Source organism: Homo sapiens, chromosome 14 (genome assembly GCF_000001405.40).
Source record: "Homo sapiens chromosome 14, GRCh38.p14 Primary Assembly".
Classification (NCBI taxonomy): Eukaryota; Metazoa; Chordata; class Mammalia; order Primates; family Hominidae; genus Homo; species Homo sapiens.
The window spans coordinates 80,941,143-80,956,523 of NC_000014.9; the positions used below are offsets into that span (position 1 = coordinate 80,941,143).

The 15,381-nt window shown below is 40.7% G+C and overlaps 2 protein-coding genes across 17 annotated transcripts in view, besides 2 other annotated features; one reads left to right on the plus strand and one right to left on the minus strand.

Annotated features, from left to right (window-relative positions):
• CEP128 (centrosomal protein 128) overlaps window positions 1-15,381 on the minus strand; it is a 482,534-nt gene that overhangs the window by 464,174 nt on the left and 2,979 nt on the right. For 8 of the 14 annotated variants that reach the window (NR_157142.2, XM_047431023.1, XM_011536493.3 and 5 more), the window contains exon 1: window positions 439-596. The exons of 4 other annotated variants lie outside the window; for them this stretch is intronic. The gene's annotated coding sequence lies outside the window, so the exon portion shown is untranslated. Of the gene's footprint in view, window positions 1-438; window positions 597-1,141; window positions 1,239-15,381 lie in introns of those variants that run through there. 2 more of the 14 variants (XM_047431018.1, XM_047431020.1) reach the window with 2 other exon arrangements.
• Window positions 431-510: an enhancer, noted in NCBI's record as "active region_8821". NCBI's record gives its function as "activates an Ori minimal core promoter by ATAC-STARR-seq in GM12878 lymphoblastoid cells {active_cell/tissue: GM12878}" and the evidence as "EXISTENCE:reporter gene assay evidence [ECO:0000049][PMID:35858748]".
• Window positions 811-890: an enhancer, noted in NCBI's record as "active region_8822". NCBI's record gives its function as "activates an Ori minimal core promoter by ATAC-STARR-seq in GM12878 lymphoblastoid cells {active_cell/tissue: GM12878}" and the evidence as "EXISTENCE:reporter gene assay evidence [ECO:0000049][PMID:35858748]".
• Window positions 14,479-15,381, plus strand: part of TSHR (thyroid stimulating hormone receptor) — a 190,686-nt gene continuing 189,783 nt past the window's right edge. For all 3 annotated transcript variants that reach the window (NM_000369.5, NM_001142626.3, NM_001018036.3), the window contains exon 1: window positions 14,479-14,708. In NM_000369.5, coding sequence (NP_000360.2) covers window positions 14,539-14,708 — 170 coding nt within the window. In that variant the 5' untranslated portion in view covers window positions 14,479-14,538. The remainder of the gene's footprint in view (window positions 14,709-15,381) is intronic.

Genomic DNA, 15,381 nt, shown 5'->3' on the forward strand with positions numbered 1-15,381 from the left:
CGAGAGTAGCACGCTTTCTGTGACTACAAAACAGGTATTAAAAAAAAAATCAAATTTGCTTGCAGGACAGGCAAGCAAATGTCAGACGGTCCTCTGGAGGACCTACCGAATGAGTCCAATCTCCTGTCCCTTAAAGCTTCACAGATGCTAGCGGTAGAGCAAGCTGCTCCCAAAGGAAGGACAATGTAGTCCAGATTCGCTGGGTAACCTGGCCAGGACCTGACCGCGGACACCCCTGCCGAGGGAGGGAGGCCTCGGGATGACAGGCGCGCCGTCTCCCCTCACCTCTGCACACACTCCACCCATCCACGGCCCCACCCCAGATCCCGCGCCGCTCTGAGGTCCCCACCCCTGGGACGAGGGGAAGTGGGACTAAAACGTCTACAGTAAGACGGGGAAGTGGTCGAAAAAGGGCAAGGGGGAGGTGGGGGCAGGTACCTGAGACGGAGGATGATCCCAGCTCCTTAATGCCGGATCATCGCCTAGGCCCCACCCGGCTCCCGCGGCTACCAGTGACCCAGAAGGTGCAACTGACCAAACGCAGCGACTCAACCGACTGTGCTCTCCCCAGACTCGCAGCTATGGCAACTTGAACTAGCCGCCCAGCCACAGCAAGAGTACAGGACCCCGCTGCCGCCGCTTGGCCCTCTGGGAGTTGTAGTCCATCTCGGCCTCATGATCAAGGAATTACCAAGGGAGAGAGTCCCGAAAAGGAACTGCAAATCCCAGGATGCCATATAGCTGGCCTTCGGGTAACTTTCCCGGATAAAAGCCTGATCCCTTGGCCGCGCCCTCTTGCCCTGCTCTATTTTTTTTTTTTGTTAAAGGACCAGCCTCCTTTGTAGGAGGCAAACTCCAGTTAGAAAGTGAATAAAAATGCTTCCTTGGCCTTGACTGTAATTTTACTCCTTGGGGGACAAAAGGAGTCCCCCAGGACTACGGTAAGATGGGGAAGTAGAAAAAGGGCAAGGGAGCGGTGGGAGGACAGGGAAAGACAATTTCTAGCACTGAAATGTAAAAATCCCCTTAATACCAGGGTCCAGTATATTGTTCCAAAGACTCACAAATTCTTAGAAGCGGACGGGAACAGAGAAGATTATGTAGGCCAACCTGTTTGGCCTGGAAAGAGTAAGGGACTTGCCTAAGATCATATGGCTTATTCACGGCACACCAAAAGTAGATGTGAGGCTGTCAGCTCATTACTGCTGCTACTTCAGTCTAGGTGTCATCTCCTCACTCTAGAACATAAAAGAAATGTTTTCCACTCAGGGGAGTTGGTTTCAGTCACGAAGAGAATGAAAACCTCAATAAAAAACTGAACTTTGGAAAGCTAAAAAGTAACAATTAAATTAGTCATATGAATTGCCCTTCTTCTCTGCCAAAAAGACCACTTCCCCTTCCTTCTTTGAGGCTAAACTCAAATATTACCTGATCTGTGAAAGCTTTCCTGGCTACGTGAAGAAGAGCTAGATCATGTTTAATAACAAGGGTTCCTTAATCTAATAATTCTGTGCTCTATAATCCATTTCCCAGTTGGTCCCCTCTATTAGCCCTTCAAAGGGACCTAACCTTTTTTGTACATTTTTATCTTTCTTCTCACCCTTTCCTCACTTGCCCTTCTCCGTTCATATCCCTCTCTCTCTTTCTTTCTCTCTCTCCCCCTTTCTCTCCTTCCATCCCTCCTTACCCCTCCTCCCTCCCAACAGGCAGAGTCATAAATAATTAGCACATAAATTTGATATAGTCGTATTATTCAAATTTTTTTTCTGGCCAACACTGAGACATAAAACTATCTCATATTGGTTTGAACATAAAATAATTCTTCCAAAGACCTCCTATGCATTTGCAACTATCTTCAAGCTGCTTACTTGAAATTGTTCCTCAAGAATACACTCCACCAGACAGAGTTTAAGATAATTCAGAACAGCCATAAAATTGCCCCATATACATGCAGAAGCATAATAATAACTGTTTATTTGTAAACATTTTAACTTTCAAAACAATTCTATTCATTTATGTAATTCAGCAAATGTATGCTGTATATTTCTAGTATCCAGACATTGTTTTAGACACTGAAGTTGCAGTGAAAATAAACAACATAGACTTTGCTTTCAAATTGCTCAGAGCCATGTGAGAGAAAAAGACAATAAATGATTACAAATCTCTGTGTAATAGAATACTGCATAGGTTTGTATGGAAAGACATAAAAGAGAAACTTTCTGAAGAAGTGATAATCAGATCAACTGCAGGAGAAATGTCTACCAAAAGAGCTAATGTAATCACGAGCTACATTAATAAAAACTGATTGTCCACAGCTTTTCCTCCCTGGTTCAACCATATTTAGAGAATTGGATTCTATTCTATAGGCCTTATTTTTCAAAGTGATATTAACCAAATAAATCAAACATTACAGGACACAACTGGGACCAAAGGGTTAAAAATCAGATATTTTCGTTCATTTTGATCAAGAAATGCTTAAATATGTTACTAAATTCATAGCAGCTGTTTGTCAGCTTTGGTGTGCTCTCAGTCAACAGACGTGGCATCCCAAAAAAATGTAGTGAAGTCAGGCCAGGGGTGCTGACTCAAGCCTGTAATCCCAGCACTTTGGGAGGCTGAGGTGGGTGGATCACGTGAGGTCAGGAGTTCGAGACCAGCCTGGCCAACATGGCGAAACTCCATCTCTACTAAAAATACAAAAATTAACCAGGTGTGGTGGTGGGCACCTGTAATCCCAGCTATTCGGCAGGCTGAAGCAGGAGAATCATTTGAACCTGGGAGGTGGAGGTTGCAGTGAGCTGAGATGGTGCCACTGCACTCCAGCCTTGGTGACAGAGTAAGACTCCATCTCAAAAAAAAAAAAAAAAGTAGTGAAGTCACATCACTGAATCTTTGTTTTTTATGTCTTAACAAAATAGACAAAATGAGTTAAAGCCGACAAAATGAGTTAAACCAACAAAATAGATTTTACATGAAATTGTCTCATAACTCCCAAAGATATGTATTACTTTTAATCAATATGGCCAACACACATTATACAAACACAATACCATACTCAAGCAGAATCATCTGAGCTTAGATTTAGAAAAACCCACAAAGAGTATTGATATGGTCTGGCTCTGTGTCCTCACCCAAATCTCTTGAATTGTAATCCCCACATGTTGGGGGAGGAACCTTGTGAGGGGTGATTAGGTCATGGGGCAGTTCCCCCACGCTGTTCTCATGATAGTGAGTGAGTTCTCAGGAGATCTGATGGTTTTATAAGAGGATTTTGCCCACTTCTCTCTCCTGCCACCATGTGAAGAAGGATGTGTTTGCTACCCCTTCTGCCATGATTGTAAGTTTCCTGAGGCTTCCCCAGCCATGCAGAACTGTAAGTCAATCAAACCACTTTCCTTTGCCAGGTGCGGTGGCTCACGCCTGTAATCCCAGCACTTTGGGAGGCTGAGGCAGGCGGATCACGAGGTCAGGAGATCGAGACCATCCTGGCTAACATGGTGAAACTCCGTCTCTACTAAAAATACAAAAAATTAGCCAGGTGTGGCGGCGGGTGCCTGTAGTCCCAGCTACTTGGGAGGCTGAGGCAGGAGAACGGCGTAAACCCGGAAGGCAGAGCTTGCAGTGAGCCGAGATCGTGCCACTGCACTGCAGCCTGGGCGACAGAGTCAAGAGTCTGTCTCAAAAAAAAAAAAAAAAAAAAAAAAAAAAAAAAAAACAGAAAAAACAGAACAAAACAAAAAAAAAAAAAACCACTTTCCTTTATAAATCACCCAGTCACAGGTAGTTCTTCATAGCAGGGTGAAAACAAACCAGTACAAGTATCATTTGCAGTACCCTTCTTTTGCAAACCATGTATTACAGATAGGGGCACACAGAGGTTACATGATGTATTAGTTTACTAGGGATTTGATTAAATACCACAGAATGGGTGACTTAAACAACAAAAATTTATTTCCCACAATTCTGAAGGCTGCAAGTCCGAGATCAATGTGTCAGCAAGTTTAGGTTCTCCTAAGGTCTCTGTCTTTGGCTTGCAGAGATCCATCTTTTCTCTGTATCCTCAGATAGGCTTTTCCCTGTATGAGCACATACATGGTTTCTCTCTCTTCTTGTAACGACACCCGTTATCTTGAATTAGAACTTTATACTATAGCCTAATTTAAACTTAACTACCTCCTTAAAGGTCCCATTTTCAAAAACAGTAACATGGGGGGTTAAGATTTCAACATGTTTTCCCCAAAATTGTACCTATTCAGGATTAGTGTCATCAATGATCTCATTACGTAATACCTTGATTGAGGTAGATGCGGGAGATATTTTTGATATGCCTCACCCACATCACCCCTTAAACTGGGAATGATTCTACCCACTGTGTTGGGCCCCTATAGCCTTGTTTATGTTATACAAAGCCCCTACCTGTCTCACCATGGCTGATTAGACAAGGAGTAGAGAGACACCTGAGACAATTTGGGCCAATCAGGCTCTTTATCCTTTGAGAATTTAAAATGGGCACTCAAGCTCCCAATTGGTTGCTAGAATAGTCTTGATGTACGGGTAAGAGCTGAGGCCGCCATAGAGAGGTGACCATCTTCACCTGTGTTCAAGAAGCAGCTGACAATGCTAACCTGCACAGACAGAGAGAAGTGAGTAAAGCAGTGAAAGGAAATAAACTACACAACCACGAGGAAATGAGCCCAAGAGAATACAGCCCCCGTTCCTGACAACTTCCAAGTTCCTGGATCCAAGCCTTGTTATTCCCATTTGTATTTCCTGTACTTGTTTTCCACAATACACTAGTGGCAACTAGAGGTGGTTAAATGCACAGATTCTGGACCCAAACCACTTGGATTCAAGTCCGTTATAATGCCTATCAGCAATGTTACTTCAAACAAGTTACTTAATCATTCTGTGCCTTCATTTCTTCCTCTTCTAAATGTGGACAATAAAAATAGCACTTCATGTGTAGAGGTGTTTGGGGGATAAAATAAATTAATGTGTGTAAAGCACTAAGCCTAGTGTCTAATTCATGGTAAGCATTATTGAATGTAAGCTGACATTATATGTAGGCTGACAAATACTATGACATCCTAAAAATGTTAGTTCCATGAATATTGGTACTCTATTATTTTGTTCTAGACACTTAGAACAAAGAATTTATTAATACCTTGATGCCTCATGATGCATCATGATGATGCCTCATGATGCATCATGATGATGCCTCATGATGCATCATGATGATGCCTCATGATGATTTCCCTTTTGAAGCCTAAGATTAGTTCTGTTGATTGAAATCTAAAGAGCCTTGACTAAGATTATACTAATGAGATCACCAGCCTGTAAGATCCAAGATGCTAATTCTAGATCTAGTTTCCTGAGCAGTTTATCAGAAACACTTTTGAACCATACGAAACATTAAATACCTAGAGGAACTAATCAATAAAAAGGTTCTGGAATGGGGCTAGTCTAAAAGCATTGACATGACCATCCTAACCCAACTCATCTAGAATGAATAAATGTAGAGAAGGGAAGACAACTATTATGTAAGAAGCTGTGGGTGGCAGACAGAGGTAGTGCCGTTTCAAGGAGAAGGGACAGAAGTTGTATTTCACCAATAACTTCCAAATTTATACAACTATGAAACAACAACAGCTGATATGGCTTGGTTCCGTGTCCCCACCCAAATGTCACGTGGAATTGCAATCCCTAATGTTGGGGGTGGGACGTGGTGGGAGGTGATTGGATCACAGCAGTGGATTTCCCCCTTGCTGTTCTCATAATAGTGAGTGAGTTATCACAAGAACTGTTGTTTAAAAGTGTGAAGCACTTCCCCCTTCACTCTCCCTTTCTCCCACTCTGCCATGTGAAAAAGGTGCTTGCTTCCTCCTCACCCTTCAAAGCACCATGATTGTAAGTTTCCTGAGGCCTCCCTAACCGTGCTTCCTGTACAGCCAATAGAACTATGAGTCAATTAAACCTCTTTTCTTCACAAATTACACAGTCTCAGGTGGTTCTTTATAGCAGTGTGAGAATGGACTAATACAACAGCACACTAACTATGTCCATGTGACACAAAAATGTATTTGAAATACCAACATTTTCCTCAAATGTTTATTTTTTTCACCTTGGCTCTCTCCTTATCTCCATTTCTGTCAGCTACACTGTTCTGCACTCATGGCCTTAGAGATGGGGGGTGACCACAGAAAGCAGAAAGGGAGGGGAGTTGAGAAAGAAAAAGAAGAAGAAAATGAAGCATTTTCTTCCTGGATTTTGCATATTAAACACAAACATTCTCAGATAGGACAGGATGTGTAATTTGTTGTAGGACCCTGTGAAAAATGAATATGCTAAGCCCTTTTGCAAAATTTATTAAGATGTCAAAATGGCAACAACACAGCATTAAACTAAGCACTGGGCCTTTCTGAATACAGGGCCCTGAGTGATTGCACAGGTCACAAACCCATGAAGTCAACCCTGCTGTCACAGAGGAGTCATGCTATAAACAAATGATTTGGAAGGAAATACCATGAACAAAAGAAAAGAGATTCCCCCCAAAAGAAAAGAGATTCCTGACTGGGAATGTGGTAACAGAGAAGAAGGGGGTCCTGGAAAGAGAGGAATAGGAGGTTGGGGAGGCAGACCTGTAGGCATAGGGAGAAAGTCTATGTTGACAGAGTGCCCGGCCTCCACTCAAGCAAGCACTATTCATAGCTTGAACCTACCTGTTCTGCCCATAGGCATCAAAGGAGGATGTTACTTCAAATGTAGCCTGCATTGTTCTTGGTGACTGTCCAGCACAAGTGATGACCACCTACATCATTGGATTTTGCTTTGTTCCCTCTAGCCAACACAGATGGTCAAGCTCCCCTATAGTATCACTGCACAGTTATAAGTCATAAGACAGAAGACACCAAGTATGATGTTATAGGTAAGTAAAAGGGAAATTCCCCCAAATCTTGATTAGGTGGGACTAAATGGAGCTACTCAAAATTCTCTCTCAATCAAGTCAGTGGTGAAATTCACTCTCTTTACATCAGCAGAAAACAATCATAAATGGTTGTTGACTTTTTCTACATCAAGTTTGCAAGTTACCTTCAAGTTTAAGAAGAGTCAAGATAAAAAAACAAGGTATTGCAGGGATAATATTGCCTACTACTCAAAGAATCATCTTTAGCCATTCATTGTGCTGAAGCCCTGCTGATCCCATGAAGTTCTTTTCAGCCACACACTTACTAATTATAGGTAATTATCACTGCCAAGAGCGTCACAGATATAAAACACAGTAATTCATATGCATTTAGGTCAAAGTGAGCCACTATTAATGTACTAAACCAAAATTGCAAAACATTTCTGTAGTTAAGCAATATAACTAATCAATAAAGAGGTTATGGAAAGGGGCTAGTGGAATGCTCCACTTTAATGGGGACTTTCTGAAAAAAGATAAAACACACAGAGGCATAAATTGCCAAACACCACTTTCTAATATTTGAACCATGCTAATAATTCCTCTACAAGAAGGAAAAAGTAGTGTTCTATAGCCATTCTCATTCATTTGTTACATTTAAAAGGATTCTGTGCGTGTGTTTAAGGGAACTGAGTGCACTTTTCTCTTTATTTAACCTGATCACAAAGATTGGTCATCATCTTATCTCATGTGTTTATTTGCCCCATTTTAAAAGTTATGCTAAGGAAAGAAAATTGTCTTATTAATTGTCATAGCAATTTGTTGAGCAATTTGTTGAGCAGACTATTAGAACATGGTTAGCCCTAAGGCATGTTCCAATTTGCTGAACTGAAACTGTAGGCATAAGAGTTTTTGCCTACATTATAATTGCCACTAAGCCAATTTCATGCTGTCTAAATCTTGATATAAAATGTTATAGGTTTCAGCATACCACTTTTGTTCCCAGCAAAGGTGGAGTAACAGAGACCAGATTTACCCTCCCACCAGAATTATACCAAAAAAACAGGCAAGATATACGAAGCAATGCTTTTCAAGGCAGCGGCTATCATACCAAGAAAGACCATGATCCCTGAAAGACAGGAAACAAATAAAGCAAGCCTTATGATTGCCACAACTTACTGCCTTGAGAGAGTTTCCAAGTCATGGTGCAAGGAGAGCGAACCCAGGCAGAGTCCAGTGGATTCTTTAATTGGGGAGACAAAGCTGAGAGTTTGGAAAGATGCAGGTAGGTGGAGTTTGCAGGACAAACTACGGGAGGTAGAGAGCTACGTAGAGAGAAAACTTCCGAGAACTATAAAGGGTCTCCATGGAAGATTCAGCAGAGTACTAATCATTACACACATGTGAAAAAAATGAGGCTGGAGAAAAAAGCAACTAGCAAGATTGGAGGTAAAATTGTCTGTTGCTCACAGGGGACCAGGAACAGTGACTCCTCCCACCAGCCAGATTTGAAATCCTCATAATTCATGGAACACTGGCTAGAGTAATCAGAAGGGTATTGCCTCGGGAATGAGGAATAATTAGCCCTAGATTATATGCTGTGCTAGTCCCACCTAATAAAGCTTAAAACCAAGATCCACAAATCCCAAATTGTTTCAAAGTAATTTACATCTGACGACAAATCTCAAGAATATTTACATGAATGCAATAATTCCAGTGCCAAAAAGGGTAATATTTACAATATCTGCCATCCAAACAAAAATTATCAGGCATACAAAGAATAGAAAATGCAACCCATTTTCAGGAGAAAAATCAACCAATCTAAACTGACCCAGAATTGACAAAAATATATATATATTCGAATTATCAAACAAGGACACTGTTGTATGTTGAGTTTTGTTCCCCAAAAAGATATCTTGAAATTCTAATGCCCAGTATCTGTGAATGTGACCTTATTTGGGAATAGCATCTTTAACGATATTTAAATTAAGTTGAGGTTATAATGGATTAGCATGGACCCAAATACAATGACTGATGTCCTTGTAGGAAGAGGGAAATTTGGACACAGAGACACACAAAGAGAACACCTGATGATGACAGAGGAGAGATTGCAGTGATATAACCCAAAAGATGTCAAGGATTCCCAGCGACCACTAGAAGCTAGGAACAGTCAAGGAAACATCCACCCACAGAACTCTCAGAGGAAGTATGCCCCACCAACACCTTAACTTTAGACTTCTAGCCTCCAGAACTGTGAACAAATTAATTTATCTTGTTTTAAGCCATCAAGTTTGTGGTACTTTGTTACAGCAGCCCTAGGAAACTAAGATAGATATCAAGGCAATTATTGTATTTTAGATGTTCAAAAAGTGTTATATAAAGAGACATGGAAAATATGAAAAAAGCCCCAAGTTGAACTTCTGGAGATGGAAATCCATTTTATGAGATAAAAAAGACGTTGGATGGGATTAGTGGCCAATTAAATATTACGGGAGGACAAAAAAGAATACTGAATTTGAAGACATAGCAAAAGAAACAATCCATAATCAAAGACAAAAAGAAAAATAATTTTTTACTGAGAAAAGCATCAATATTCTCTTTGTGAGACAATTTCAATTAGCCTAATAAGTGCAATAATTGGAATGCTCAAGGGAGAGGAAAGTGATAAGGGGGAAAATCATAGATGCAGAAATGGAGAAACAATGGCTAAAAATTTTCCAAGTCTGATGAAAACCATAAACACACAAATCCAAGAATCTCAAAATACCCCAAGCACAGGAAACTTGAAGAAAAGTACATCAAGGCACATTACAGTGAAATTGCTCTCAACAAGTGACAAAATCTGAAAAGCATCCCGAGTAAGAAAAAAAAAAAAAAAAAAGCAGATTATAAAGGAGCAAAGAAAACTTTGACATAAGATTTGTCCTTGTAAACAATGCAAGCAACAAGAAAATGAAGCAATGTTTTTAAAGTACTGAAAGTTAAAAATAATGTCAATCTATGATTCTATACCTAGTGATGATATCCTTTTTTAAAAAGAAGACAAAAGTAATACTTTTTCAGACACAGAAAAGCTGGAATAATTTATAACCAGCAGATATGTATGACAAAAAAATTAATGAATGTCATTCAAGCAAAAGGAAAGTGACAGCAGTGAAAAATATGGATCAATACTAAGGAATGAGAAAGACCAGAAGGGGTAACTGTCTTATTATTTGAATCCCTTTAAAAGATAATAACACTGTATTATGGGATTTATAACCTATGTATGAGTAAAATGTATGGCGATGGAAGCATAAAGGTTAGGCAGGAGAGGAGAAATGGAGTATAAACAAGCATTCAACAAGTACAGTGTTGAAGGGTTCTTTTAAACCAAGTATAAATTGGTATAATATCAACTGAATGTGGACTATGATAACTTAAACGTACATGCTATAAACCTTAAAGCAATGAGTATAATAACCAGAGTTATAGCTAAGATTCAGCAAAGAAGATAAAACGGAATCATAAAAATTCCTTAATGACTCCAAACATATGTTTAAAATAAAAGGAGAATTGGATCAAATAACAATGGAGAAATAGAAAACTAATAGCAAGATTATTCACTTAAATGTAATGTGAATAATGACATTAAATGTAAATGATCTATACAAACCAAACAAAAGGCAGAGACGGCGAGACTGAAAGCAAGACCCAACTCTATGCTATTTATAAGAACTGCACATTTAATATAAAAACTCAAAGAGGTTAAAGTATGAAAAAATCATACCATGATAACGCTGATCAAAAGAAAGATGGATTGGCTCTACCAATAACAGAAAAGTAGATTGAAGAGCAAAGGATATCACAAGGTATAAAGAAGGCCATTTAATAACAATGAAGAGAACAAGAAAATAATAGTCCCAAACACGTATTTACCTAATAATAGAACTTCAAAATACATGAACTTTAAATTGCATGAAGAAAAACCTGATAGAAATGCAATGAGGGGGAAAAAAAACAAATCCCCAATTGTAGTAAAAAATTTCAGTACCCATGTCTCAACAATTGATATGACAAGTAGACTTTAAAGTTAGCAAAAATACAAAAGACTTAAACAATACTATCAACAACTTGACCTAATCACATTTGTAGAACACACAACTCCACAAAAGCTGATCACTTATTTTTTTTCAAGTACACACTGAACATTTTACCAAGATTGACCATATTCTGAATCATAAAATGAGTCTCACTAAATTTAAAAGTGTTCAAGTTATACAAACTATTTTCCCTGTCTATAATAGAATTAATTTACAAATTAACAACAGAATATCTGAGAATTCCTCAAATATTTGGAAACTAAACCACATGCTTCTAAAGAATCAAGGAAGAAATCTAAAAGAAAAACTAAAAAGTATTTTAAACTGAATACAAATGAAATTACAAGATATCGAAACCTGTGGGATGTCTCTAAAGTAGTATAGGGAAAGTCTACAGCACTACACACATACAATATTATAAAAGAAAAATGGCCTCAAATCAGTGACCTCAGTCTTAAGAAACCTCACCTTAAGAAGTAAAGAAGAGCCAATTAAACCCCAAGTAGGCAGAGTAATAAAATAATAAAGATCAGAGCATATATCAATGAAATAGAGCACAAAAAAAAATAGAGAATCTAAGAAACAAAAATTTGCTTCTTTGAGAATATGAATAAAATTGATAACCCTCTGGATAAAGTACTTAGGTGAAAAAAAGAAGATACAAATTATCAATATCAGGTATGACAGAGTTGACATCAGAATAGATTATATAAATATAAGAGGATAAGAGAATATTATGAACAAACTCATGCCAATAAATTCAACAATTTAGATGAAATAGACAATTCATTATATGACACAAACTGCCCAGGCTACCTCAAGAAGAATTATATGACTTGAATAGCCCTAAATCTATGTTTAGAAACTGGATTTATAGTTAAAAACCTTCCAATAAGGAAAATGCAAGGTTCCAACAGCTTCACTGGAGAATTCTACCAAATAAGTAAGAAAGGAATGATATCAGTTCTACACAAACTCCTATAGAAATTTAAAGAGGAAGGAATATTTCCCAACTTATTCTGTGATGGAAGAATTAATTGCCCTCATACCAAAATTTGACAAAGAAGTTACAGAAAAGAAAATAACAGACTACTATCCCTTGTGAACGTCTATGTAAAACTTTTAAACAGAATTTTAGCAAATCCAATGAAGGAGTATATTAAAAAGATGATAAACACGGCCGGGCACGGTGGTGCATGCCTGTAATCCCAGCACTTTGGGAGGCTGGGGCGGGCGGATCACGAGATCAGGAGTTCCAGACCAGCCTGGCCAACATGGTGAAACCCCGTCTCCACTAAAGACACAAAAAATTAACCGGGCGTGGTGGCGGGCGCCTGTAATCCCAGCTACTCTGGAGGCTGAGGCAGGAGAATCCCTTGAGCCCGGGAGGCGGAGGTTGCAGTGAGCCAAGATCGTGCCATTGCACTCCAGCCTGGGCGACAGGGCGAGACTCCGTCTCAAACAAACAAACAAAAAAAGGATAAATACATCATGATCAAGTGAGATTTATCCCTGCAATTCAAGGTGGGTTTAACATTCGAAAATCGATCACTATGATTCACCACATTAATAAACTACCATGGAACCATCACCACGAACAAGATTTAAAACAGTTTTATTACCCACAAAATTCTCTGGTGTTCATTTGTAGTCAGCCCTACCCTAGGCCTTTGCAACCGCTGATCTTTTTCCTGTCCCTATGGTTTTGCCTTTTTGAGAAAGCTATATAAATGAATCATTAATATGAATAATTACATATAAATACGTAATATTTTGAGTTTGGCTTTTTTCACTTAACATTATGCATTCAAGATTTGTTCCATAACAATACCATGGTAATTTTTAAAAAAACAACAACAAAAGCCCGGGTGCGGTGGCTCAAGCCTGTAATCCCAGCACTTTGGGAGGCCGAGGCGGGCGGATCACGAGGTCAGGAGATCGAGACCAGCCTGACTAACACAGTGAAACCCCGTCTCTACTAAAATTACGAAAAAATTAGCCGGGCGTGGTGGCGGGCGCCTGTAGTCCCAGCTACTCGGGAGGCTGAGGCAGCAGAATTGCTTGAACCTCGGAGGCAAAGGTTGCAGTGAGCCGAGATCGCGCCATTGCACTCCAGCCTGGGCGACGGAGCAAGACTCCGTTTCAAAAGAAAAAAAAAAAGAAAAGAAAATTTGTGCATGTTGTATCAGCAGTTCATTCATTTTTATTGCAGAATAGTATTCCAATGTGGAGGTATCAGAGTTTGTTTATCCATTATCTAGTCGCGAGACACTTGGTTCGTTTAGTGGTTATGAATAAAGCTTCTGTAAAATTTGGAATACACATATTTTAAATGTACGGTTTAATGAATTTTGATAAATGTATACATCCACTTAACCTCCAGCCTAATTACGATATGGAAACCCTGTGTGTTCCCTCCTGTCTTTTTCTAGTCAATCTTTCCTAACCTTTATTCTGATTCCCATAACCACAACTTTTTCCTTCCTGTCCTAGCCAAGTTCATATAAAAGGAATTATGCAGTATAGAAGGAATTGACATTCCTTTTATCCCAAGAGGAATAAGTGATTGAAGACTTTTAAGAAGGAAATAGGCACAATCTGATTTATGTTTGTAATGATCTTTTTGGCTACTGTGCGAAGAATGGTGAGTATGCCACTTAAGTATTATTTTTCTTCCCATCTTCCAGGGGGAATATGACTCAATGAAATTCTTGGGTCGACCAGAATTTCCATACTGGACCCATTATTAAGGGAACCTGGAATTATTTCTGCCATTCCCGATTCTTCCCAGCAGATGGCCCCAAAGTTCAGTTCCTGAATTGCCTCGCGGAGCCGCGGGCTGCAACGTGAGGCGGCCGCTGCCAGTCGACTCAACCACCGGAGTGGCCCCTGCAGTTGGATAGCAACGAGAATCCTCCAGGGGTGCAGGGCGACGGCTTCGGCCGCACCGCGGGCTAGCCAGGGCTGCGTGCCCGCCTCTGACCCTCAGCAGAGGTGTCTCTGGCCAGGAGGAGCTGAAGTTCTGCAGGACATTGGTCCGCCCGCGGACAGTCCACTCCGCGGGGACTTTCTCTGGATAAGGAGTGCGTGCGAGTGGCTCCCAGGCAGACAGGGTGTCTAGAAGGCTACACGCTAGGGAAGGTGGCTCCTTGGATTTAAAGAGGAGGAAAGGAGGGGGCATCTAAACTAGGCTTTGGAGAGAACTAATGGGAGGGGCGCCCGGGGTGGGGGGGCGGGCTGGAAAACAGAGGGGACAGCCAGGACTGGTGTTGGGTGTCAGGGAACAGACGGAGCGGACTGCGTGGGTCCAGCCAAGGAAAGTGAAGCAAGCAGACTTGTTTGGGTCAAGGTTGCCTAGGGAAGCGGAGCACTTAAGTGCCTCTTTTTCCCCTTCTCCAGCCTCCTCCACAGTGGTGAGGTCACAGCCCCTTGGAGCCCTCCCTCTTCCCACCCCTCCCGCTCCCGGGTCTCCTTTGGCCTGGGGTAACCCGAGGTGCAGAGCTGAGAATGAGGCGATTTCGGAGGATGGAGAAATAGCCCCGAGTCCCGTGGAAAATGAGGCCGGCGGACTTGCTGCAGCTGGTGCTGCTGCTCGACCTGCCCAGGGACCTGGGCGGAATGGGGTGTTCGTCTCCACCCTGCGAGTGCCATCAGGAGGAGGACTTCAGAGTCACCTGCAAGGATATTCAACGCATCCCCAGCTTACCGCCCAGTACGCAGACTCTGTGAGTACCCGGGAGAGATCAGGGTAGGACCCAGAGATCAAGGGCATCTGCAGAGGTGGCCCGAAGTGCACAAAAGCAGCTCAATAACAGCCCGAAGTAGTGTGTGAGTGTGTGTATGTGTGAGTGAATGTCTGTGTGTGTAGATGTGTGTGTGTGCTAAAAACTTAATCGCCCACACTTGGGAAGGTATCATTGTTGACATCCTCATTCCCAACACAGGAAAATGTTACAAAACTTTGGTGTACAATGACCGTGAGAGCTGTTCTTTCCAACAAGCTGCTATTCAGCACTTTGCCTAACCCTGGTTGAATCTGTTTTATTTGAATTAATAAGGATAATGGCATCTCAGGAACTGACCTTTTTGATCTTACCTTGGGTAATAAAAAATTGCAAAAATATGTATTTCTCCTTTTTGTTTCTCTAGATGGGAGGTTATCTTAGCAGTTCTGCTGATTCATCAAATTGTTGACAAAGGTTTAAGCAGGGGCCCTTTTTAAAATGAACTGTCTATACAGTATCTGTAAGTTACTTACTCAAATGTGAACTGCCAGTGAAATAGTACGTCCAGAACCCTGCTTTGTGATAGAGGTATAAAGAAATGAAATTTCATAAAAGTATAGTACATTTATCTGCATGTTAAATGTTACCAGATTAGAAACCTGATGTTAAATAA